Here is a 27226-nt window from a genome sequence, read left to right on the forward strand (position 1 = left end):
CATGTTACATTAAACAATCTGAATTTTAACATTAAAAAAAGGTAAAGCAAAAACTTCTATTTATCTTTCATACTACCTGTCTATTTATAGGCTTCTAGAGAGCATGACCAATATCTATTTGAACTTATTTTATATAACATATAACTTCTGAAGATACGTGTTTTCGCTACAACCCCTTTGTTTTTGTATTTTTAAGAAACAACATAAATTTATTACCTTTATTATAGTCCTAGCTAATCTTAAATAACTTACGCAAGACTTATCAGCCATGGATATATTTATAACTCTTTTGAGTCTATTTATAGCTTTATTTGTCTCTTTGTTTGCTTCTTTTTGTTTGTGTACAGCTATACTATCCAGTGTGGAAGCCCATTTCTTGTGGCGGTGAGCGCTTATAATGTGGCTTTTGAGAATTGAGTGTTCTTTAAGTGTAAAATACACAATGAATTTCAAAGACTTAGTTAAAAAATATATCTTATTAATAATGTTTTATATTAGTTACATGTTGTAGATATATTGCCTTTAGGTTATTTTATTATAAATAAAGCATACTTATTAAAATTCATTTTACCTGTTTATATTTCTTTTAATGTGACTACTTAAATTTTAAAAATTATATATGTACCTCACATTATATTTCTTTTAGATAGCATTGTTCTAACTGAGGTAAGTCAGTTGTTAGGTCTTATATTGGAGACTTTGGGAGACAAATTCATATTTTACATGATTTTATGAACTATAATAGTCACTTGTCCTTTATCTTTGGAGCAAAAACGATTCATTTTTATTTATAATGAAATTAGAGGATATTCATCAGTAAGAAGGGGAGGACAGATTCAGATTAAGTTTTGACTGGGGGAAGTGACAATGGGAGGAGACCCTCTAATGCCTGGTAAAGTCAGGCCTGTTATATAGTAAACATTTGATACATATTAATTTTTTAAAAATTGGGTCAGGATTTGAAGAAATAGTAATAATAGGATATTTCACACCATGAATAGAGTTATAGTTTAAATGCATAGGTGTAAGTTTAGGCCCTGGGGAGACTGGAGGTGCTTTTGGTTTTTACTGCCTGCCCTTGAGAGTAGGAGCTAGAACTCCGGGCATTTGTGAAAAATGAATAAGAGAAAAGGTGGAGGAAGGGATGAGAGTAAGTAAACTGAGAGTGTTTGGAACTTATTTCTAATTTTTGCAGTCTCATAAAATTTGATTTCCAAGAATTGCAATAGTTTATCAAAGTAGAGTTAAATGGCTTGCTAAAACTGAGAAGAAAATTCAAGTTGGTCTGATACAGTTCAGTATTCTAAGATCAGGATCACCATGAATATGGATTTTTCCTTAACTGTTTTGGTAGCAGCACTATTATGTCAAACCTTTCTTTTTCTGTAAGGATATCCTGTCCCCTCACCACCTCCTAAAGGAATTGTTTTTTTCCTTCCTGCAAATTGAGTTACAGTTTTCCATTAATCTGCAATAAAAATTGAAAGTATGTTACAGAAAAAATACCTTAGAAGCCAGGTCAAATAGTATTATATGTAATAATACAGTAACTAATTATGAAGTGCTATGTTTATTTGTCGTGTTTTTTAAGAGTTGAGGTTTAATGATTCTTTTTTTTACCAAAATGTTACTTTTCATATTGTAAGTTTCTTTAGAGTATCTATTGCTATGAATAAAATATTCTAAGGTGTGAATTTTATGTTTTTTTCGTAGGTGTTAATCTGTTCACATGCTTGTTTCATTGCTGTTGTTGTTGGAAGTCGTCCACCTGGCAGACAGGAAGCTCTGCTTGGGTGGGATTGGAGGTGCAGTCTTTCAATACTGGACTATACTAAGTATAGATTCCAATGGCAATGTAATTCCATTTCCTTGGCCTCATTAATACTACATAGCAGTTCAAGATTCCTGGAATGGTCATAAAATTCTTTTGAACTATTAACAGTTTCTCATCCAGGCCTTAGGATAAAAAAAAATGTTCATTTTTAGGGTGACTGACATACTTATTTTAGGAGTCTGTTGAGTAGCTGTGAAGAAGCATTTTTTCTTTTTAAAAGTACTCATTTCCATAAGTGTCATAGGGAGTATGTTGAGCGAATAGGTTTTGGTCAGATTTGCTGATGCTGCATAATGACATTTTGGTCTACAATGGACCACATATACAATGGTGGTCCCATAAGATTATGATGGAGCTGAAAAATTCTTATCTCCTAGTGAAGTCAGAGATATCATAATGTCATAGCACAATGCATCATTCACTGTGGTGATGGTGGTGTAAACAAACCTATTGCACTGCTAGTTGTATAAAGGTATAGCACATACAGTTATGTACAGTACATAATACTTGATAATAAGCAGCTATGTTACTGGTTTATGTATTTGCTATACTGTACTTTTTATCATTATTTTAGCAAGAACTCAAGCTTAAAAAAAAAGTTAACTGTAAAACAGCCTCAGGCAGGTCTTGCAGGAGGTATTCCAGAAGAAGGCATTGTTATGATAAGAGATGACAGCTCCATGGGTGTTGTTGCCCCTGAAGACTTTTCAGTGGGACATGATGTGGCGGTGGAAGACAGTGTTCTTGAAGATCCTGACACTTCGTAGGTTTAGGCTAATGTGTGTGTTTGTGTCTTAGTTTTTAACACAAAAGTTTAAAAAGTTAAAAAGTAAACATAGAAAAAGGTTATAGAATAAGATACAAAGAAAATATTTTTGTATAGTCATATAATGTGTTTGTGTTTTAAGCTAATTATTATAAAAGTCAAAAAGTTAAAAAAATGAAAGTTTATAAAGTAAAAAAGTTTATAGTAAGCTAAGTTTACTTTAATATTAAAGAAATAAACTTTTTTTTGTAAATTAAGTGTAGCTCAAGTATATACATTTTATAAAGTCTGTGGTAGTTATTGTAATGTCCTAGGCCTTCACATTCACTCACCACACAACCACTGACTCACCCAGAGCAACTTCCAGTCTTGGAAGCTCCATTCATGTTAAGTGTTCTCTACAGGTGTACCATGTTTTATCTTTTATAGTATATTTTTACTGTATCTTTTCTGTGTCTAGATATGTTTGGATATATTAATACTATTGAATTATAATTGTTTATGCAATACAGTAACATGCTGTGCAGGTTTGCAGCCTAGGAACAATGGGCCATACCATAGAGCCTATGTATGTGGGCTGTTCCATCTAAGTTTGTCTAAGTACACTCTGATATTTGTACAACAACAAAATCAACTAATGACACATTTCTCAAAATGTATCTCTGTTGTTAAGTGATGAATGACTGTATTTTATCCTAGAAATAATGTTTAACCTTATTAGTGATGTGCACTCTGAAAGATAAACTAATATATTTTAGTTACTGTATGACAAACTGTCACTCAGTGTGACAGCTGAACCCAATTACATTGAAAAATTATGCTGCCAAACTCTGAAATAAATTGAAGATGACCTGGCTGGAAAATATAGGATATAGACATTTACAACAGAGATTTGAATTCCAACGAAAGAATGGTTGTAGTTTTGGATCGGTATGCATTTTATATTTTAGAACCTTAATTTATTATCTGTGTATGTAAAAAGATTAGAGCGGTATTAGTGGGAAGATTGTTTATGGGAATAAAATTTAATAATTAGATGTGTCACACTTGTGGCATGTTATTAGTTGTTAAAGAGGGACTCTATTAATGTAGCTTATTCCTGAGAAAAAACCACAAGTCTAATAAAAGTTTTGCTTTATATTATTATCAGGATATGATCAGATATTAATGTTTAACATACACTCATAAGTTATTAAATTATATCATTGTCCAGTTTTGACTCAGTTATTCAGTGTGGGTTACTATATTTAGCTCACAGATGATCTATTCTTTTGCTCCTAGCTATTTCTCTGTGGCTTCCCCTCCTCCTGCACGCACCCCCATATAAATACCAGTCTATTGGATCTAAATATGTATATTCATTTTCAATCTAACTTCATATCTGGTCACATATCCATTTTATCCCACAAACTTTTATTGATTACTTACCGTATGTAAAGCTAGGCACTTCGGATACAATGATCAAGATAAGGTCTCTGCCCTGGAGTTTATAGAGTTGTAGAGGGTGACAAATATGGGCAATGAGATGTGTAAATTCTATCATAGAAATCAATTAGGGTATTGTGGGCTACACTGAAAAAAGAAATCTACCAAGTAAGTCAAGGTAAGTCTTTATAAAGGTGATGAAGCTTGAGTTGAGTTTTGAAAGATGGCTAGAAGCTAGATCTGGCTACAGCTGTGTGGTCCAGCATGGCGGCCACTAGCCACACATGTGGCTAGTGAGCATTTAAAATGTCCTTAGAATATAAAATGCACACTTAATTTTGAGGGCTAGGTGTAAAAAAAATGTAAAATATCTCAATAATTTCATAATATTTACTACATTTTGAAATGATATTTTGGATATTTGGGTATATGTACTGAGTTAATACAAGTTAATTTCACCTGTTTTATTTTACATTTTTCTTTTCATGTGGCTAATAGAAAGTTTGAAGTTATGTATATGGCTTGTATCTGTGACTTGCGCTGTATTTTTATTGGCTATCAGTGGTCTGGAGATTTCTGAAATTTTTAAGATTTTTAAATTAGATGAACCATTAGAAGTATAGAAAGAAACTAAAATATATTCTAGCATGCCCTCTTTTTCTCTCTATGTGTGCATATGTGTGTACATATGTGTCTATATATACACACACATAACCTTTATATTGTTCAAGTCATTCATACTTTGGGTTTTCTGGTTATATGTCAGTAAACCTCATCCTAACAGATACATTGAATTAATAGCAACAATTTAAAAACCACAGACCACTGGGGAAAAACTTGTTCTCCCTACTCTGGCAAAAATTGCTTAAATAATTCATGGAAATCAATATGGCAACAAATTTAAAATACATTTTATTGTCAGCAAATACTTTGAAAGGAAAATTGAAAACGTTACAGAGTTGAGGAAACAATTATTAGAATCAAATGTTGGAGTTTGTTTTAAGTACAATGAGAGTACTCTTATTCCCAACATGTTTTTATATATTATTTGCTATATTGTGTTTCTTAATGAAATAAACAACTGCTTTTTGTGAGCTCTATAAAAATATATATAAGTGAATGTACACTTTCGACAGAAATTCCTGTATTCCCTGCTTATTGAAACCAGAAATCAAGAAGGAATTCTACCTTTACCTGGAAAGCAGAAGATGTGTTTTGTGAAGATTTACTTGACTTATCAGAACAAGTCTCTCTTCCGGTATTTAGATTGCTACTTTGTATATTAACTGTCAGGGGCACCATATTTTAAACAGGACTCTGAATTGAATACTAGAACTCCAGAATGCTGGTGCTTGATAAGATTTTAAAGATTATTTAGTTTTTCAGATGTGGAAACCTAGGCACAGAGAAATTACTGATTTAATGTGGGATACTCCGATTTTAAGTTGCCATACTGTGGAACTGGATTTCAGGTGTTTGATTTTCTAGTCTAGCAATGATCTCTTTGGTTATATTAACGTGAGTCTCTTGGGTTTGGCTGGTGTATTAGTTTACTGGAGGTGTCATGACACATACTGCAGACTGGGTGGCTTAAAAAATTGTAATTTATTTTCTCACAGTTCTAGTGGCCGCAGGACTGGTTTCTTCTGAACCTTTCTCCTTGGCTTGCAGATGGCCGTCTTTTCCCTTTGTCTTCATATGTGCTTTCCTTTGTGTGTCTATGTCCTAATCTCCTGTTCTTATGTGAACATCAGTTATATTAGATTAGGGCCTATCCATATGATTTCATTTTATCTGACTTATCTCTTTAAAGGTTCTATCTCCAAATGCAATGCCATTAGGCTGTACTGTGTTCCCCCCAAAATTCATAATGTTGAAGTCCTCACCTTTAGCATATGAATTTTTGGGGGGATACAGTGCAGCCCATAACAGCTGGTCTTAACTAAGCGAAAATAAGGGTAAAATGAGTGATAGTGATAAAAATGTAAGGTCTTTTATTAGTAATGCTTTACTTAAATTCCTGTAAAAATGACAGTTTTCTATTTGTAAACCCATTGCTTTTTTACTTTGAATTATTTCATCCTTTTCCATGCTTCTACTCTTTTCTTCCCCCCCCCGATATATTTTTATTCTCACATGCCTTCATCTGTGCATCCAAAGGCACTGTTGATTCAGTAGTATCAGCGGAAAAGCCCAAATAGTTTTGACTCCAGCTAATTAAAAGAAAACACCTTTAAAAAATATATGCTGCAATGTTTGTAGAAAATCTAGGTCTTACTTTTCTTTATTAATATCAATAATAATAAAAATAATAATAAACCTCTGTTAAGTGCATATTAGGTACCAGGGATTTTGCTAAATGCTTTACCCTATGACTTTGGTAGTTTTATAGATGAGGGAACTAAAGGTTAAAGAAAGTGAAATAATTTTTCCAAGATTTCAGAGCAAATAATTGTTAAATTAAGCTTCAGACACAGGCAGTACTTGCTATGCTTACTGCCTGTTTTTTAGAATTCTTAGGAATTTAACTTGCAACTGTCTCGAATCCAAGCTATACTCTGATTGAAATTAAGATATGGAAATAACATCATATGTTGATAGCTTTTGTGGTAACTATCGTGTTTACTATGGCAAGCATTCAGCACACTGAGCTTTGGATGTTTAAATATATTGAAGCTTTGATTCTTGAAGTCCTCAAGAATCTGTTTGCTTACCCAGGCACAAAATCACTCAGCATCTTCACTTGGCACATAAATGCTAATTCAGTAGCATGATATACATGGCATGTCATAATTTGCCCCTGCCTGTCTTTCTAGTGACATTTTATTTTTTCTCATAGCTCTACACTCTTTAGTCATAATAAACTACTACACTTATTTTCTGGAATTTAATTATTCTTATGGCTCCTTGGGGTTGCTCATGTTCCTTAGTTCCATTTAGGAAATATTTTATTGATTACTTACTAACGCACAATTCAAGGTTTGTTTGTTTCTGTCTGCACTATTGAGAGTGATGTTGGGGCCCAAAAGACCAAAAAGGAGTTGTTTACAGGTGGACTTGGACTGTTCTGAAGAGAATCTGCAGATACCTATTTGTGTTTTGCTAAGTGGAGCTTAAATGACAATGGGCCACAAGGAGCAGGGCTACAAAGGGAAGAGCAGGGGGAGAACGTTATCTATGTCTCTGGGTCCATTAGTAGGTACGTGCTTGATCCCAGCTGGATCAGGTTAACACTGGAGCAGAATTAGGAACAGAGGGCAATAGAAACAGTGAGTGGGGAAAGGATTATTGTGGTGACTATCACTTTGGTGCTCCATAGCGGTGCCTAGAGTAGAGGACCCATCACAGAAGTGTTCTAGCAATGACTTATCTAGGAAACTAGCTACTGTAAACTTGGTTATTTGTTTATTTCTTCAGACTTGGTGATACATATTATGGTCTTCCATTAACATTATATGGTATATGTCAGCAGCATTCTTGTATGGTTTTAAACCCTGACAGAACTATAAAGACCTTTTGGTGAGGAGAAGCAGATTAGTTTAAACATACTTGTATTTCTAGGTAGTTGATGGGAGCATAGCATAGGGATGGTATGCCCAACTCTGAGGACAGAACAGGATTGGGAAGATGATTCTTATCTTTAAGGATTTCAAGATCTAATAAGAGAGACTAATGTGTAAATTAAAAAATACTAAATAATGTGTTCAGGCCTTAGTGGTAGGACTAGTCAGAATTCAAATCCTGGCTCTTCCCTTTCTTTGCTTGTGACTGAGTGAAAGTGTGTATTAGATACCACAGTATCACAGAGAAGAAAGCAATGAACTATTTGAAGCAGTTGGGAAAGACATTAAGGTGGAGGATTCCCCTGAGATTGGCTCGAAAGGGTCAGCTGCAGTTTGCACAGTAGACTGGTGGAGTGAGGGCATTCCAGATAAAGAAATCTGAATTGGCACAGTGTATTCTAAATAGTGTTTTCTTCCTAGAAATGTTTTTCTTTCCCAGAAAATTCATACATATTCTTTAGATTTAGCTTCTATATTTTTTTATGGATCCTTGTTTAACTCACATCTATCTCTCAACCTCAGGAGTCACATGGTTGGCAAATGCACTTGGTTAGCAAAACTGCAGTTGCCATGATCAAGGTCTCCTGGATGACAAGGGGTGGGAGGAGGAGAAATTAAGGTAATGCATTAAATGTGTATATTTATTTATAAACACATAACTAAAAGTTCTGGAAAACAGTTGTTTCCAAAACCAGAATTATCTGTTGTTGTTTGTTTGTACCGAATGTAATAAAATGATAATGTAGTTACAAGTTTTTGTAAGGTATGTTGCTAGGCTGTTGACTGTTTTGATTTAATATTAGTAGGAGCTCTTCATGAGAAGAAACACTATTACATTAAAGGTATACATCAATTATGAGTTACATGTTTATTTCAGAAATGTTAAATATGAAAAAATGTTTATTGGAAAAAGGAAATATGGTATTCTGAATTAATAACTTTATGACATAGGCATTTGTATTCCCATTTGTATATAAGAAAAATGAAGTTTGGTGGAATTTGAAGCTAAGAACTTTGGGCAATATGGAGCAAGAGGCTTTTATAAGAGAGTGGCATGAGTGAAGTAGTGTGCCCATTGCATGTAGATTCATCTGATTGGATAGAGTAGTGTCCTCTTATCCTTTCAGTGTTTCTTATATTTCTTTTCCTGAAACGGGACTTGTCAGAGAGCACAGCCTCTTCTGTAGCGAAGTATGTATAAGTTGGGAGGTGCTTCTTTCTAGCCCCAAGTTGTGCTTGTTTCTCTTAGGTCTTTTATAACTGTAAGCTGATGTACTTGACTCTCTACATTTATATTTGTAGGATTAATGAATAAATACTATTAGAATCCAATCAGTTTTTGTGTCCTGGTTTTCTGTAAATAACTTGGCCTTTGTGGTATGACTAATCTGAATCCAAATCCTGGTCTGTCTTTTCGTGGCTTTGTGACCTTCAACTATGTTACATATCTCTGAGCCTGTGTTTTTTTTTTTTTTCTCTCTCTCTCTCTCTGTGTATGTGTGTGTACCTGTATATTCTCACATATATGAAAATGAGGTAAATGATGTTATTTTTCCTTTTATTTCCCTCATAAGTGGAAACTGTATATATGAGAGAATTCTATATATAACAGATCATTATATTATTGTTTCTGCTACTATACTGCATGTTCATTTAGCACATTTATTAGTCAAAATGTGGTCCACAGATGAGGTTTGCATATTCATGAAATATTTGCTGTTCTAAGAGGAGATAAGGAACTTGTGCCAGAATGCAAATCATCTGTGCTAAGTACACTATTTCTTTCAACTAACCTTTCTTTTTTTTTTTTTTTTCTCATAACAAGACTTTCTTGATGAAGGAAGCAGAATGTCGATTCATATTTTACTTCTATCTCCTCATTGGCTGGCACTCTGAGTAGCCTGAATGTAGAGTGCTTTGGGAAGATATTTTGAAGAAAGCTTAATTTTATTTATATTACTTTTCATTTTTGGTGTTAGAAAGGTTTGTTATTATTAGTGAAAAGGTTATTAAATTTGAACTTGGATTCTAATCGTGTCTTTGCTACTGATTAGTTGGGCAACTGAATTAAATCTTCTAGGCCTTATTTTCCTGACGGAAAATGAAGGTTGGGTTAGATATCTGTGGTTTTTGTAGGCTTTAACATGTTAATAATTATGTTTTTTAAGTACTATTTTTTTCTTTTACCTTTTTTTTTTTAAAAAAGCAAAACTGAGACCTCGTCAAAGTAGTAGATAAGAAGCACTGCAATAGAAACATACTTTAAGAAGCCTCTTTTTGGAATAGATGTTTTATTAAGCTGTAGTCAACCATATGGCAAGGATTTGATGCTAAGGCTATAATGATTGAGACTGTTTTTGTCTTCAAGTAGTAATATCCTGGGAAAGATAGACAAGTAAATACATACAAATGTAAATACATAAATCGGTAGTGTGTTAGAGATATGGACCAAAAATGTGTGAAACAGGAGGCTGTGAAAGACTCTCTAGAACAAAGGTAAGCAAACATTTTCTATAAGGATCCAAATATTTTAGCCTTTGTGGGCCACATGGTGTCTATTACAACTACTCACCCTGCAGTTGTAGTGGAAAGGCAGCCATGTAAATAAAAATACATCATTTTTCAACACCAATTCTCTGGCACTAATTAAGTGTCCTAAAATTCAATCCTGATACTACATAGAGTTAGTGCAAACCTCTTAAATTAGAGGCAGAATCCTTCAATTCTGACACTAATTGAAAGTTAGTACAGACTCCACAAGTTAAGGAGCCAGTCCCACAAGACTGCTTCCATTTCAGATACCAGCCTGAAATAGGCTACCTGCACTTCTGCTCAACTGACCACAAATTCAGAGGTTCCCACAACTTCCCTCAGGTTCTGTAATCACTAGAATGACTCAGAGTTCAGGAAAGTGCTACACTTACAATTACAGTTTTATTATAAAGGAAACAGCTTAGGAACAGCCAAATGGAAGAAATGTATAAGGAAGGCACTGAGAGGGAGTGGGCTATAGAGCTTCCATGCCCTTACTGGGCACACCACCCTCCCAGCAGATTGATATGTTTGCCAACCTGGAAGCATCCTGGACCTCGTTGTTTGAGTTCTTATCAAGGCTTCAATTATGTGGCCTGATTTATGGGCCACGTAATTGAACTCAAGTACCAGCCTTATATTCACTTGCTTAGTTTTTTTTGACTTGGCCAGCCCTTCCCTTGAAACTATCTAAGGGCCCCAACATGAGTTAGCTTGTTAGCATGAGCTCAGCTATGGTCAAAAGGGTCTTGTTATGAATAGCAAAGGACACTCTTATCACCCAGGACATTCTAAAGATTTTTGAAGTTCTGTGCCAAGAATTGGGGGCAAAGACCAAATATATTTTAAATTATACGATAGGCAGCCATTACTGATATGTAAATGAATGGCCAATGGCCGTATAATAAAACTTTATTTACAATAAGACATTGAGCTAGAACTGACCTATAGGTAGTAGTTTGCAGACCCTTGCTTTAGAAAAATGTGAAAAACTGCTGAAAGAATGTGACATTTGAACTGTTTCTTCTATTTATTTTAAACTTTTTGCTGATATGATACTATTTTATAGAATTTTTAAAATTTATTTTCAGTAGCACTAATAGATTTTTTTAAGGTGCTATGAGAGTGAGTAAGGAACTTTTTTTAAACACATATGCTGTGATTAATGTGTTTTAATATCAATTATTAATATCAATTGATTGTTAATATCAATTGATTATTAATGTGTTTTAATATCAATTGAGAAGGACTTCAGTTAAGTCCTCTTTGTGCCTCTTACTCCAGTAGGTGGGCTTGAAAACTACCTACTGGATCACAACTGGTAGGCTTTATTCTCCTGAGTGATCATGACTTTTATCACATTCCTTGATTAGTGATGTTTCTGTTGAGAATGCTGTTTACCTTCTGTCGTTTATGTTTTGCATTTATATTTTGCATCCCACTCTTGTTTTCAACATAGTGAAAGGAATTAGAGCCTTGGGTTGGAGTTTTATTCCTCTGACTTAATGGGCCTGTGACTAGGCAGGTTCCACATTCTGAGAGCTGTCCAGTGAGGGATTAGAAATTCGACACTTACTGCTGTGTAATAAGTTAAAGCATGAACATTTAAAATTTTTTGGTTTTTAAAAAAAAAAAACTAAAATTTTTTGGTTTCCGTTTTTTCTTTTTTTCTGGCTTGATAGTTTTATTTTTTATTTTTTAACTTTTATTTTAAGTTCAGGGGTACATGTACAGGTAGAGTGCTTTTGGGAGATATTTTTTACATAGGTAAATATGTGTCATGGGGGTTTGTTGTGCAGTTTATTTCATCACCTAGGTATTAGCCTAGTAGACATTAGTTATTCTTTTTGATCCTCCCACCCTTGACCCTCCGATAGGCCCAGTGTGTGTTGTTCCCCTCTATGTGTCAGTGTATTCTTACCATTTAGCTCCCACTTACAAGTGAGAACATACAGTATTTTGTTTTCTGTGTTAGTTTGCTGAGGATAATGGCCTCCAGCTCCATCTATGTGTCTGCAAAGGACATTATCTCATTCTTTTTTATGGCTGCATAGTATTCCATGCTGTATATATACCACGTTTTTTTTTTTATCCAGTCTATCATTGATATGTATTGAAGTTAATTTCATGTCTTTGCTATTTTGAATAGTGCTGCAGTGAACATATGCATGCATGTGCCTCTGTAATGGAATGATGTATATTCCTTTGGGTATATACCCAGTAATGGGATTGCTGGGTCAAGTGGCATTTCTGTCTTTAGGTCTTTGAGAAATCATTGCACTATTTTCTACAATGGTTGAGCTAATCTGCACTACCACCAACAGTGTATAAGCATTTCTTTTTCTCCACAACCTTGCCAGCATCTGTTGGTTTTTGACTTTTTAGTCATAGCCATTCTGCCTGGTGTGAGATTGTATCTCATTGTGGTTTAGTTTGCATTTCTCTCATGATCAGTGATGCTGAGCTTTGTTTCATATGATTGTTGGGCACATGTATGTCTTCTTTTGAGAAGTGTCTGTTCATGTCCTTTGCCCATTTTTTAATGGCATTGTTTGTTTTTTTTCCTTGTAAATTTGTTTAAGTGGCTTATAGATGCTGGATATGAGACCTTTGTAAGATGCATGGTTTGTAAAATTTTCTCCCATTCCGTAGGTTGTCTGTTTACCCTGTTGATAGTTTCTTTTGCTCTGCAGAAGCTCTTATTTGTCAATTTTTGCTTTTGTTGCAGTTGCTTTTGGTGTCTTCATCATGAAATCTTTGCCCATGCCTATGTCCTGAATGGTATTGCCTAGGTTGTCTTTCACAGTTTTTATAATTTTGTGTTTTATATTTAAGTTTTTAATACATCTTGAGTTTATTTTTGTATATGGTAAAAGGAAGGAGTCCAGTTTCCATCTTCTGCATATGGCTAGCTAGTTATCTTAGCACCATTTATTGAATAGGGAATCCTTTCCCCATTGCTTGTTTTTGTCAGGTTTGTTGAAGATCAGATAGTGGTAGGTGTGCATCATATTTCTGGGTTCTTTTTTCTGTTGATCTGTGTGTCTGTTCTTGTGCCAACACCATGCTGTTTTGGTTAATGTAGCTCTGTATTATAGTTAAGTTGGGTAGCGTGATGCCTCTAGCTTTGTTCTTTTTGCTTAGGATTGCTCTGGCTATTCAGGCTCTTTTTTGGTTCCATACGAATTTAAAAGTAGTTTTTTTCTGGTTCTGTGAAGAATGTCAATGGTAGTTTAATGCGAATAGCATTGAATCTGTAAATTACTTTGGGCAGTATGGTCATTTTAATGATATTGATTTTTCCTATCTATGAGTGTGGAATGTTTTTCTATTTGTTTGTGTCATCTCTTGATTTCTTTGAGCAGTGGTTTGTAGTTGTCACTGTAGAGATCTTTCACCTCCCTAGTTAGCTGTATTCCCAGGTAATTTATTCTTTTTGTGGCAATTGTGAGTGGGAGTTTGTTTGTGGTTTGGCTCTCAGTGGGACTGCTGTTGGTGTATAGGAACGCTAGCAATTTTTGTACATTTATTTTGTATCCTAAGATTTCCCTGTAGTTGTTTATCAGCATAAGAAGCTTTTGGGCTAAGATGATGGGGTTTTCTAGATACAGGATCATGTCATTGGCAAACAGGGTTAGTTTGACTCCTCTCTTCCTATCTGAATGCCCTTTATTTATCTCTCTTGCCTGATTCCCTGCTGAATAGGAGGGGTGAAAGAGGGCATCCTTGTCTTGTGCCAGTTTTCAAGGGGAATACTTCCAGCTTTTGCCCATTCAGTATGATGTTGGCTGTGGGTTTGTCATAGATGGCTCTTATTATTTTGAGATATATTTCTTCAATACCTAGGTTATTGAGAATTTTTAACCTGAAGGGATGTTGAATTTTATTGAAAGCGTTTTCTGCATCTATTGAGACAATCATGTGGTTTTTGTCTTTAGTTCTGTTTATATGATGAGTCACATTTATTGATTTTTTTATGTTGAGCCAACCTTGTATCCTGGGGATGAAGCCTACTTGATTGTGGTGAATAAGTTTGTTGATGTGCTGCTGGATTCAGTTTGGCAGTATTTTGTTGAGGATTTTTGCATCGATATTCATCAAGGATATCAGCTTCAATTTTTCTTTTCTTTTTTTTTTTTTGTATCAGGATGATGCTGGCCTCATAGAATGACTTAGGGAGGAGTCCCTCCTTTTCAAATTTTTTGGAATAGTTTCAATAGGAATGGTACTAGCTCTTCTTTGCACGTCTGGTAGAATTCAGCTGTGAATCTGTCTGGCCCTGGGCTTTTTTTGGTTGGTAGGCTATTACTGCCTCAATTTCAGAACTCATTATTGGTCAGTTCAGGGATTCAGTTTCTTCTTGGTTCAGTCTTGGCAGGGTATATGTGTTCAGGAATTTATCCATTTTTTTTCTACATTTTTAAGTTTATATGCATAGAGGTGTTTATAATATTCTCCGATGGTTGTTTGTGTTTCTGTGGAGTATTCCCCTTACCATTTCTTATTTTATTTGAATCTTCTCTCATTTCTTCTTTACTAGTCTAGCTAACAGTTTATGTATTTTATTATTTTTTTCAAAAAATCAGCTCTGGGATTTGTTGATCCAATGAATCGTTTTTCATGTCTCTGCCTCCTTCAGTTCAGCTCTGATTTTGGTATTTCCTGTCTTCTGATAGCTTTGGGATTTGTTTGCTCTTGGTTCTCTAGTTCTTTTAGTTGTGATGTTAGGTTGTTAACTTGAGATCTCTCTAATTTTTTAATATAGGCATTTAGTGTTATAAATTTCTCTCTTAACACTGCCTTAGCTATGTCCCAGAGATTCTGGTACCTTGTATCTTTGTTCTCATTGTTTCAAAGAACGTCTTGATTTCAGCTTTAATTTTATTATTTACCCAAAAGTCATTTAGGACCAGGGTATTCAATTTCCATGTAATTGTATGGTTTTGAGTGAATTTCTTAGTCTTGAGTTCTAATTTGATTGCGCTGTGGTCTGAGAGACTGTTATGATTTCAATTCTTTTGCATTTCCTAAAGAGTGCTTTACTTCTGATTATGTGATCGATTGTAGAGTAAGTGCTGGGATTACAGGCGTGAGCCACCACACCGGCCTGGTTTTTGTTCATATTCTGAATTCTACTTCTGCCCTTTCAGCCATCTCAGCCTCAGCCCAGTTCCGAACCCTTGCTGCAGAAGTGATGTGATCATTTGGAGGAAAGAGAGCACTGTGGTTTTTTGAGTTTTCAATGTTCTCGTGCTGATTCTTTCTCATCTTTGTGGACTTTGCTACCTTAAATCTTTGAGGTTGCTCACCTTTGGATTTTTTTTTTCTTTTAATAGTCTGGCTGCTTTTCCACAGGACTGTTGCGGTTTGCTGGGGGTCCACTGCAGTCCTTAGTCATTTCGGGTTTTCCAGTACCTACCTGAAGGTATCACCAGTGAAGGCTATGAAACAGCAAAGATGGCAGCCTACCCCTTCCTCTGGGTGCTCCATCCCAGGGAGGTACAGACTTGTTCCTGGCCCAAACATACCTGTAGGAGGTGGCTGGAGATCCTGACTGGCAGGTCTTGCCCAGTCAGGAGGAACAGGATTGGAGACCTGCTAAGGAAGCAGCCTGGCCACACTTTCATAGAGCAGCTGTGCTGTGCTGGGGTACCACTTCTGCCTCTAGTTGGCTTGGGCTCTCTAAAACCTAGAGGCTAGAATGGCTAAGTTGCCCAAATAGCAAAGATGGCAGCCTGCCCCTCCCTCTGGGAGCTCTGTCCCAGGAAGTTTTCAAATCTTTGTTGGCCAGAGAACATTCGCCAGGGTGTCTGGAGGTCCCCCTTGCGAGGTCATGCCCAGTGATGAAAAACGGATCAGTCTGGTCATGTTTTGGTAGAGGAGCTGTGCTGTGCTGGGGGATTCCTTCTGGCCTAGGTTGGTTTGGACTCTCCAGGGCCTGCAGGCTGGAACAGCTGAGTCATCCAAACAGCAAAGATGGTGGCCTCTACTCCCCACAGGAACTCTGTCCCAGGTAGGGGTGACACTGTTGCCCCTGGTTAGCTGGAATTCCAAGCCAGTGGGTCTTATCCTCTGTGGTGCCATGGAAGTGGGGTCCGCAGACCGTTACTGCCTGCTTCCCTGGATTCAGCCCCCTTCCCAGGGGTATGTACGGAAGTCCAACCTCCTGCGTTGCTGGAGTTGCAGTCACTTTTGCCAGGATACCCAGAGCCAGAGTCTGTAAAACTCCTGGGCCCCTCTGCATGTCTGAGTGGCTGCTCTGCTGAGACTCCACACAGCTCTTTGTGTCAGACTGAAGGCCCTGCTGGAGTGGGTTCATGAAGGGATCTCTCCTGACCTGAGGGTTGCAAAGATCCGTGGGAGAAGCATGGCATGGTTTCCTGGGGTTGCACATTCACTCACGACTTCACTTGGTGGGGGAGGTTCCTCCGGCTTTGTGTCACTCTCAGGTGGGCCGTCATCCTATCTGCTTTTCATTGTTCTTTATGGGTTGAGTTGCTTTCCTGATTAGTCCCAATGCAAGTACCTGGATGTTTCAGTTGAAGGTACTGTATTTACTTGCCCCTTTCATTCCTCTCTGTGAGAGCCATGCACCATTGCTGCTTCTTGTTGGCCATCTTGGCCCAAATCCTCTGTTTTCTTTTTGCCAGAGTAGAAGTGGTTTCCTCTTCTTACCTGGACGTTTCACAATGGAATGAATAAGCAAGCTGATATCAATTTATCAGCTTATCTTGTTAGTTTCATTTCTTAGTATATGTGAGGTTTCAAATGGTCACAAAGATGAACATTTAAAAGGCCTCCAAACAAGGAAAACTGGCAGTGGGCCAGAACTGACTATTTTAATAGGGATAGAGAGTTTGAGTTTGTTACTATCCTGTTGCTTAGGTAATGTTACTGTAAGCAGAGGATAGAGAATAAAGAGAATTGCCCGTATGAGTACATACAAAAATGATGATGAAATGAGGGTAATGGGAAAATAATATTTTAGGGATAGAATAAATGCAAAATTCAGAAAAACCAAAGTGGAGTTTATTCTTTTTGTCAGTAGCCACAGATGAGTTGCTAGTATCATTTTTAAACACAAATGGCAAGTACTTAAATGTGTTTATATGTGTGGACTACAGCAATATTCTACCAGTTAGCAGCACATGAAATAGCTTGTTCACTTGCTGGTTCAATTGAAATGTTTTTACTTAAATACCTATTAAACATTGTTGATACTGAATTAGGCTTGTCAGGAGAAAAAATAGAACACTAGTTTTCACAATTTTTACCCGGTAGTAGCTCATGCATGAGGCTAAGCATGTAGTCCTCATACTATCACCTTGAGGTAAAGTCCTGTTATCCACAATTTACATATGGGGAAAGGAGATTAAGTAACTTCCCTAGGTCAAGCAGGTAGAAATGGCTGCACAAGACTCAAGCCTTTTACTGGTTTTCTTCCTAACAGACATAATTTCTTAAGTTCTGTGAGAAAATTACAAAGAAATCTGGAAGCATCACATTATCCAACTTCAAACTATATTATAAGGCCTTAGTCACCAAAATAGCATGGTACTGGTATAAAAATAGACACATAGACCAATGGAACAGAATAGAGAACCCAGAAATAAAGCCACATACAGCCAGCTGATCTTCGACAAAGCAAACAAAAGCATAAAGTGGCAAAAGGACACCCTATTCAACAGATGGTGCTGGGATAATTGACAAGCCACATGTAGAAGAATGAAACTGGATCCTTATCTTTCACCTTATACTTGAAACTAAGACCTGAAACCATAAAGAATCTAGAAGATAACATTGGAAAAACCCTTCTAGACATTGGCTTAGGCAAAGACTTCATGACCAGGAACCCAGAAGCAAACGTAACAAAAACCAAGACAAATAGATGGGACTTAATTAAACTAAAAAGCTTCAGTACAGCAAAAGAAATAATCACCAGTTAACAGAAAACCCACAGAGTGGGAGAAAATCTTCACAATCTATACATCCAACAAAGGACTAATATCCAGAATCTACAAAGAACTCAAATCAGCAAGAAAAAAAAAATCCCATCAAAAAGTGAGCTAAGGACATGAATAGGTAATTCTCAAAAGAAGATATACAGATGGTCAACAAGCATATGGAAAAATGCTCAACATCACTTATTATCAGGGAAATGCAAATCAAACCACAATGTGATACCACCTCACTCCTGCAAGAATGGCCATATCAAAAAATCAAAAACTAATAGATGTTGGTTTGGATGTGGTGAAAAGGGAACACTTTTACACTGCTGGTGGGAATGTAAACTACTACAACCATTGTGGAAAACAGTGTCGAGATTCCTTAGAGAACTTAAAAGTAGATCTACCCTTTGATCCAGCAATCCCACTACTACGTATCTACCCAGAGGAAAATAAGTCATTATATGAAAAAGATACTTGCACATGTATGTTTATAGCAGCGCAATTTGCAATTGCAAAAATATGGAATCCTCCCAAGTGCCCATCAACCAATGAGTGGATGAAAAAAATGTGGTGCATAAATACCATGGTATACTACTCAGCCATAAAAAGGAATGAAATAATGGCATTCTCAGCAACCTGGATGGACTTGCAGACTATTATTCTAAGTGAAGTAACTCAGGAATGGTACCCAAACCTCATATGTTCTCACTCATATGTGAGAGCTAACCTACGAGGACACAAAGGCCTAAGAATGATACATTGGAGTTTGGGGACTTGGGGCAAAGAATGGGGGGTGGCAAAGGATAAAAGACTGCACATGGGGTACAGTGTACACTGGTCTGGTGATGGGTGCACCAAAAACTCAGAAATCACCAGTAAAGAACTTATTTATGTAACTCAACATCACCTGGTCTCTGAAAACCTATTGAAATAAAAAATTTAAAATAAATTACAAAGAATTATGACTTTCTAAGGATTGGATAGATATCTTTTTCTTTTTTCTTTGTTTTTTGTTTTTTTTTTTTTTTCATGGAGCAGAGACTCAGACAAAACTTCATAAAGGAGAGATATATAAGATGAAGTGAAAATCTAAGGTGAGGCCTAAGCATGGAGGGCATTGAATGTTAGGTGACAACTTGAGGAGTTACTTGAGTCATAGAGCTGTTTTATTTCTTTTGTTCATTTTACCTCTCGTAAACCATTCTGTGCTACTTTTTTCTCCAGGAAGATTGTTCAAATTTTTGAGGCTTTGTAGTTAAATGCTATTTTGCTTCTAGAGAACTTTTCTTTTTCTCTCTATTTTTTTTTTTTTTTTTGAGACAGAGTTTTGCTCTTGTTGCCCAGGCTAGAGTGCAGTGGTGCAATCTTGGCTCACCGTAACGTCTGCCTCCCAGGTTCAAGTGATTCTCCTGCCTCAGCCTCCCAAGTAGCTGGAATTACAGGCGTGCACCATCACGGCCAGCAAATTTTGTATTTTTAGTAGAGATGATATTTCTTCTTGTTGGTCAGGCTGGTCTCGAACTCCTAACCTCAGGTGATCCGCCTGCCTTGGCCTCCCAACTTGCTGCAATTATAGGTGTGAGCCACTGCGCCCAGCTAGACCTATTACCTTTGCTTATATACTTATGTGTAAATACTGAATATAAATGGATATGAATTGTACATAATTATCTTTTTTTTTTTTTGAGATGGAGTCTGTCTCTGTCGCCCAGGCTGGAGTGCAAGGGTGTGATCTTGGCTCACTGCAACCCCTGTCTCCCGGATTCAAGCGATTCTTCTGCCTCAGCGTCTTGAGTAGCTGGGACTACAGTCATGTGCCACTGCACCCAGCTAATTTTTGTATTTTTAGTAGATACTGGGTTTCACCATGTTGGCCAGGCTGATCTCGAACTCCTGACCTCAGGTGATCCTCCCACCTCGGCCTCCCAAAATGCTGGGATTGCAGGTGTGAGCCACCACGCTTGGCTGGATTGTACATAACTATCTTAAACAGAATAGATGCTAACATTAATCTGTATTGAGAAGTAATCTAATTCATTTTGATAGTTGGAGTCATTTTCCCCTCCAGATGAAGGCTAATGAGGTTCAGGATTTTGTTTCACATTTCTTGCACCTGCCATACACTAGGCATTCAATCACTATTTGTAGAAGGACAGAAGGATACACTTTTAATTTAAAGTTCTTTTTTTTTTGAGACAGGTTTTTGCTCTGTAGTTCAGGATGGAGTACAGTGGTATGATCACAGTTTACTGTAGCCTCAAACTCCTGGACTCAAGCAGTCCACCTGCCTCAGCCTCCTGAATAGCTCCCATTATGCCTGACTAATTGATTAAAAAAATTTTTTTTTTAGAGAATGGGTCTCACTGTGTGGCCCAGGCTGGACTCAAACTCTTAGTCTCAAGTGATCCTCCTGCCTTGGCCTCCCAAAGTGCTAGGATTACAGGCATGGGCCACTACATCCTGCCTAAAGTTATTCTTTAATCAATCTTCAAACCTTGGGATGGGCATATTCTAAGCAGTGCTGATCAAAAAGTAAGTATCAATGATTTCAGGGAAATTCTGGAAGACTCTTAAGTCAGCTATAATTATTAATGGCAAGATTTGGTTCTGGCACACAGACTTCAGATAACTAATATTTACTGATAGGAAGAATTGAAAAAATTTTATAGTGAACACCCATATATGTACCACCTAGAGTCTACAATTTACATTTTACTAAAATAACTTTATCACATATCTGTATTTTTATGCATCCATCGATCTGTCTATTTTTTCTGGATCCGTTTAAACCAGGTTGACGCCATGCATATTTTTTAACTGAAATTCAATGTTTGGCTACCTCCCCACCATAAAATTACATACAGTGAAAACATCTAATATTCTGTGAGTTGTGACAAATGCATGTACCTGAGTAACCCAAACCTAGAACATTATAGTCATCCCAGAGAGTTCCTCGTACTCCTTTCCAGTTAATCCCTACCTCCATACTCCCAGAGATGGTCAGAGGTTTTTTTTTCCCACCATAGATTAGTATTGGCTGTTGTAGAATCTTGTATAAATGGAGTCTTAACAGTGTCAATGAACCCTTTTGAGTAAAACTTCTTTTATTTAACAGAATGCTTTTGCAATTTGTTCATGTTGTGCTTATCAGCATTTGTTACTTTTACTGATGAGTTGTGGACCATTGTATAAATATACCAGAGTAAGCTAATCCATTCTTCTACTCATGGAACTCTAGGTTGCTTCCAGTTTTTGGCCATTATGAATAAAACTTCCTTGAATATTCACCCATGAGTCATTTTAAGATTCATGTTTTTATTCCTTTTGGGTAAATACCTAAGAATGTAATTATCAGGTAGAGAGATGGCATATGCTTGGTTTTAGAAACCTGACAGACCATTTTATTAAGTGATTAAAACATTTTGTATTTTCAACAATGTATAACAGATCTCTTTTCCCCAGCATTTCATATGGTCAGCTCTTTTAGACATTCTGATGGCTGTGTATTGATACCCCACTGTGGTTTTAATTTGAATTTCTGGGATGGCCAGTGATGTCGAGCCCTTTTTCATGCCTTTATGCACCATTTAAAAATTTTCCCCTGGTTGCTGGGCACAGTGGTTCACACCTGACTTCGGGAGGCCAAGGCAGGCAGATCATCTGAGGCCAGGAGTTCGAGACCAGTCTGGCCAACATGGTGAAACCCCACTTCTACTAAAAAGACAAAAATTAGCTGGGCATGGTGGCGTGCACCTGTAATCCCAGTTGCTTGGGAGGCTGAAGCAGGAGAATCACTCGAACCTAGGAGGCAGAGGTTGCAGTGAGCCAAGATTGAGCCACTGCACTCCATCCTGGGTGACAGAGCAAGACTCTGTCTCAAAGAAAAAAAAAAGAAAAACAATTTTCCCCTGGGAAGTACCTATTCAAATCTTTTGCCAATTTGTAAATTTTTTAAAATGTAAGAGTTCATTATCCTAGATACAGATTTTTAAGTCAGATGTATGTTTTTTGGAAATTTTTTAAAAGTCTGTATATTTTCTTTTTACTTAAAGCTATATTTTCAGGAGCACTTTTAAATATTGATAGAATTTAATTCATCAACTATTTCTTTTATGGTTATTACTTTGTATCCTTAAGAAAACATTGCTTTCCCTGTAGATCATACAGATATTCTTCTGTGTTTTCTTCTAGAGGCTTTATAGTTTTAATTCTCATGTCTGTTATCTATATGAAATTAATTTTTGTGTCTGGTGAGATAAGGGTTCAGATTTCTTTTTTCATATTAATATCCATTTGTTTCATCACCACTTGTGGAAGAGACTTTGCTTTTTCTATTGGATTGCTGTAGTACCTTTGAAGAAAGTTGAATGATGTGTAAGTATGAGTCTTTCTTGTTCCATTGATCCATTTGTTGGTCTTTATGTCAGTACTGTGGTGTACTGTGGTGTCTCAATTACTGTAGTTTTATGTAAATTTTGAAATCAGGTAGTTTAAGTTTTCCAATTTGTTGTTGTTGTTTTGCCCTAGGATTGCCTTAGAGTCTAGCTGTTTTTTTTGTTGTTGTTGTTATTTATATAAATATTTTATAATCAATTGTCAGTTTCTAGCAACAATCCTGGGTATGTTGAATACATAGTTTAATGAGGGGGAAGAGGAGATTGACTTGTTACATGCTACTGTCTTCAAATCATTAGTATCATGTATCTCTCTAATTTACTAGATCTTTTAAAAATTTCTTCCAGCAATGTTTTCTGGTTTCTAGTTTAGAAGTATAACTTTTTTTTATTACATTTTATTACATTTTTATTACATTTATTTATTTATTTATTTATTTATTTATTTAAATGCTATTTGCTATGGTTGGAATGATGGTGTTCCTCCAATGTATGTTGAAACTTAATCCTAATGCAACATTCTGAAGAGGTGTGTCCTTTGGGAGGTGATTAAGTAATGAGGGCTCTGCCTTGTTGAATGGGTACCCTTATATTTAATACAGTGTTGAATGTCGGTGATGAAAATGAGCATCCTTAGGTTGTTAAGGATATTAGGAGGAAATTGGTTACTATTTGATCATTTAGTAGATTACAATTAAGATGTTAGCTATAGGAGTTTGTAGATACTATTTATCTAGTTGAAAAAGTTTTTCCTCTTCCTAGTTTGCTAAGAGTTTATACCATCTGAATTTTGTCGGATGATTTTTCTACATTGATTGAAGTGCCCCTATGTATTTCTCCTTTTATTAGTATGATAATAGTTATATGTATTTTCTTAAAATAGCTTCATTGAGGTATAATTTATATATCATAAAATTCACGTGTTTTTAGCATACAATTCAATGAATTTTAGTGAATTTACAGTTATTTAACTGTAATCAAAATGTACTTTTATAACATTTCCGTTACTCTCCAAATAAATAATATGCTAATTTGTAGTTATTTCCAATTCCCACCCCCAGCCTAAGGCAACTACCGATTTACCCTCTCCATGTTTGCCTTTTCTTGACATTTTGTATCCATGGAGTCACACAATGTGTGGTCTTTTGTGCCTGGCTTCTGTGACTTAGTATAACATTTTTGAGGCTCATCTATTTTCCTTTTTATTGCCAAGTAATATTATGTGGATATACCACAGTTTGATTATCCATTTACCAGTTTACGACCATTTGAATTGTTTCTAATTTTTGGCTTTTATGAATAATGCTGATATGAACATTTGCATCTAAGTCTTCATATGGATATATATTTTCATAGATACCTAGAAGTGAAATTCTGGGTCATATGGTAAATCCTTGCTTTAAGAAACTGCCAGACTATTTCCAAAGTGATTATACCACTTTACATTGCCACTGACAATTGATTTTTGAATGTTATAAACAATCTTGCATTCTTAGGATAACCCCATGATGTATTTTCCATCTTGCGTATTGCTGGATTTGGTTTGTTAACAATTTAAGGATTTGTGTGTCTGTGTTCATCAGAGATTTTGGTCTGCAATTTTATTTCCTTATAATGTCCTTGTCAGGTTTTGTCTATGAATGATTTTTATAGAATTCACCAATAAAACATTGGCCTGCACTTTTCTTTGTGGGAAGGTTTTTTTTTTTTATAATGGGGTTTTCTTTTTAATCTAGATTGTTTGCATTTTCCTTCATCTTGTGTCAGTAAATTGTGTTTTGCAAGGGATTTATTTGTGTCATCTAAGTAGTTGAATTTGTTAGCACACTGTTCATAAACATTTCTCTGATATTCTTTTAATGTCTGTAGGATCTATACTGATAATCCTTTCCAGATATTGATAATTTATGTTCTCTCTTCTCTCTCTCTCTCTCTCTGTCTCTTAAGCTTATGGTTTATCAACATTATTAATATTATTAATTTCAAAGAAAGAAATTTGGCTATGTTAATTCTATTATTTGTTTTTTATTTTATTAATTTATGTTCTTATTATTACTTTGTCCTACTTGCTGCTATGAGTTTTCTTTGTTCTTTGATTAGCTTTATGAGGTGAAACTGTGGGTCAATAAGAGCTTTTTCTTTTCTAACACTGTATAACTTCCTCTAGGCACTGCTTTAGCTCATTTTACAGAATTTAATAGAATTTTGATCAGATTAGTTAGGAGTGTTGTTTTTGAAGGCATTTCTAAAGATTTTGTTGTTATTGATTTTTTTTTTTGAGATGAAGTCTCTCTCTGTTGCCCAGGCTGGGGTGCACTGGTGCGACCTACCTCAGCTCACTGCAACCCCTGCCTCCTGGGTTCAATTGAATCTCCTGCCTCAGCCTCCCTAGTAGCTGGAATTACAGGCATCTGCCACCATGCCCAGCTAATTTTTTATATTTTTAGTAAAGACAGAATTTCACCATGTTGGCCAGGCTGGTCTTGAACTCCTGGCCTCAGGTAATCCTCCTGCCTCGGCCTCCCAAAGTGCTGGGAGTACAGGTGTGAGCCACCATGCCTCACCTGATTTCGAATTTAAATCCATTGTGGTACAAAGACAGGATCTGTGGACTTCAGTACTTTTAAATTTATTGAGACTCGTCTTATGGCTCATCATATATTTCCTGTTTTGGTGAAAACACCATGAACACTTGTAAAGAATGGTGTTTTATGATTATTGGTTGTAATGTTTCTAAGCTCTCAATTAAGTCAAGTTAATTATAGTGTTGTTCATATATTTTATGGTTTCACCTATGGGTTTTTTTTGCTTAATTTTATCAGTTATTGAGAAAGGGTCTTAAGAGTCTCAACTATGATTGTGGAATTTTCTTTCTCCTTTTAATTACTTAATATTTCAGTTTTGCTTTATGTATTTTGAAATTCTTAGCAATTGTGTGCACATTTGATTGTTATCTGTTCCTCAGGAATTGACCTTTGGGTTATTATTATTATTATTATTTTATACTTTAAGTTCTAGGGTACATGTGCACAACGTGCAGGTTTGTTACATAGGTATACATGTGCCATGTTGGTTTGCTGCACCCATTAACTCATCATTTACATTAGGTATTTCTCCTAATGCTATACCTCCCCCTGACCCCCACCCCACACCAGGCCCCAGGGTGTGATGTTCCCCGCCCTGTGTCCAAGTGTTCTCACACTGTTCAATTCCCACCTATGAGTGAGAACATGCGGTGTTTGGTTTTCTGTCCTTGCGATAGTTTGCTCAGAATGGTGGTTTCCAGCTGCATCCATGTCCCTGCAAAGGACATGAACTCATCCTTTTTTATGGCTGCATAGTATCCCATGGTGTATATGTGCCATATTTTCTTAATCCAGTCTATCATTGATGGACATTTGGGTTGGTTCTAAGTCTTTGCTATTGTGAATAGTGCCACAATAAACATGTGTGCATGTGTCTTTATAGTAGTATGATTTATAATCTTTTGGGTATATACCCAGTAGTGGGATCGCTGGGTCAAATGATATTTCTAATTCTAGATCCTTGAGGAATTGCCACACTGTCTTCCACAATGGTTGAACTAGTTTACACTCTCACCAACAGTGTAAAATTATTCCTATTTCTCCACATCCTCTCCAGCATCTGTTGTTTCCTGACTTTCTAATGATCGCCATTCTAACTGGTGTGAGATGGTATCTCATTGTGGTTTTGATTTGCATTTCTCTGGTGACCAGTGATGATGAGCACTTTTTCATGTGTCTGTTGGCTGCATAAATGTCTTCTTTTGAGAAGTGTCTGTTCATATCCTTTGCCCACTTTTTGATGGGGTTGTTTTTTTCTTGTAAATTTGTTTAAGTTCTTTGTAGATTGTGGATATAAGGCCTTTGTCAGATGGGTAGATTGCAAAAATTTTCTCCCATTCTGTAGGTAGCCTGTTCACTCTGATGGTAGTTTCTTTTGCTGTGCAGAAGCTCTTTAGTTTAATTAATTTAGTTTAATTGACAAATCCCATTTGTCAATTTTGGCTTTTGTTGCCATTGCTTTTGGTGTTTTAGTCATGAAGTCCTTGCCCATGCCTCTTTCCTGAATGGTATTGCCTAGGTTTTCTTCTAGGGTTTTTATGGTTTTAGGTCTAACATTTAAGTCTTTAATCCATCTTGAATTAATTTTAGTATAAGGTGTAAGGAAGGGATCCAGTTTCAGCTTTCTACATATGGCTAGCCAGTTATTAAATAGGGAATCCTTTTGTTTATTAAATAGGGAATCCTTTCCCCATTGCTTGTTTTTGACAACTTTCTCAAAGATCAGATGGTTGTAGATGTGTGGTGTTATTTCTGAGGCCTCTGATCTGTTCCATTGTTCTATATATCTGTTTTGGTACCAGTACCATGCTGTTTTGGTTACTGTGCCATGTAGTATAGTTTGAAGTCACTTAGTGTGATGCCTCCAGCTTTGTTCTTTTTGCTTAGCATTGTATTGGCAATGCGGGCTCTTTTTTGGTTGCATATGAACTTTAAAGTAGTTTTTTCCAATTCTGTGAAGAAAGTCACTGATAGCTTGATGGGGATGGCATTGAATCTATAAATTATCTTGGGCAGTATGGCCATTTTCACGATATTGATTCTTCATGAGCATGGAATGTTCTTCCATTTGTTTGTGTTCTCTTTTATTTCGTTGAGCAGTGGTTTGTAGTTCTCTTTGAAGAGGTCCTTCACATCCCTTGTAAGTTGGATTCCTAGGTATTTTATTCTCATTGTAGC

At 36.2% G+C, this 27226-nt stretch overlaps 1 protein-coding gene across 12 annotated transcripts in view, besides 4 other annotated features; it reads left to right on the forward strand.

The window, feature by feature from the left end:
• Positions 1 to 27226, forward strand: part of NBEA (neurobeachin) — a 730467-nt gene that overhangs the window by 15303 nt on the left and 687938 nt on the right. Inside the window, exon 2 of one of the 12 annotated variants that reach the window (XM_047430271.1) lies at positions 5162 to 5283. The exons of the other annotated variants lie outside the window; for them this stretch is intronic. The gene's annotated coding sequence lies outside the window, so the exon portion shown is untranslated. The remainder of the gene's footprint in view (positions 1 to 5161; positions 5284 to 27226) is intronic. 12 annotated transcript variants of the gene reach the window in all.
• Positions 1220 to 1514: a silencer, noted in NCBI's record as "tiled region #6808; K562 Repressive non-DNase unmatched - State 24:Quies". NCBI's record gives its function as "represses a minimal TATA promoter and a strong SV40 promoter by Sharpr-MPRA in K562 cells {active_cell/tissue: K562}" and the evidence as "EXISTENCE:reporter gene assay evidence [ECO:0000049][PMID:27701403]".
• Positions 7020 to 7314: a silencer, noted in NCBI's record as "tiled region #1134; HepG2 Repressive non-DNase unmatched - State 24:Quies, and K562 Repressive non-DNase unmatched - State 24:Quies". NCBI's record gives its function as "represses a minimal TATA promoter and a strong SV40 promoter by Sharpr-MPRA in HepG2 and K562 cells {active_cell/tissue: HepG2 | K562}" and the evidence as "EXISTENCE:reporter gene assay evidence [ECO:0000049][PMID:27701403]".
• Positions 15784 to 16285: an enhancer, noted in NCBI's record as "H3K27ac hESC enhancer chr13:35547493-35547994 (GRCh37/hg19 assembly coordinates)". NCBI's record gives its function as "activates a minimal SCP1, AML or CMV promoter by ChIP-STARR-seq in primed H9 embryonic stem cells {active_cell/tissue: H9 hESC(primed)}" and the evidence as "EXISTENCE:reporter gene assay evidence [ECO:0000049][PMID:30033119]".
• Positions 16286 to 16785: an enhancer, noted in NCBI's record as "H3K27ac hESC enhancer chr13:35547995-35548494 (GRCh37/hg19 assembly coordinates)". NCBI's record gives its function as "activates a minimal SCP1, AML or CMV promoter by ChIP-STARR-seq in primed H9 embryonic stem cells {active_cell/tissue: H9 hESC(primed)}" and the evidence as "EXISTENCE:reporter gene assay evidence [ECO:0000049][PMID:30033119]".

This window comes from Homo sapiens, chromosome 13, assembly GCF_000001405.40.
Source record: "Homo sapiens chromosome 13, GRCh38.p14 Primary Assembly".
Taxonomy (NCBI): Eukaryota; Metazoa; Chordata; class Mammalia; order Primates; family Hominidae; genus Homo; species Homo sapiens.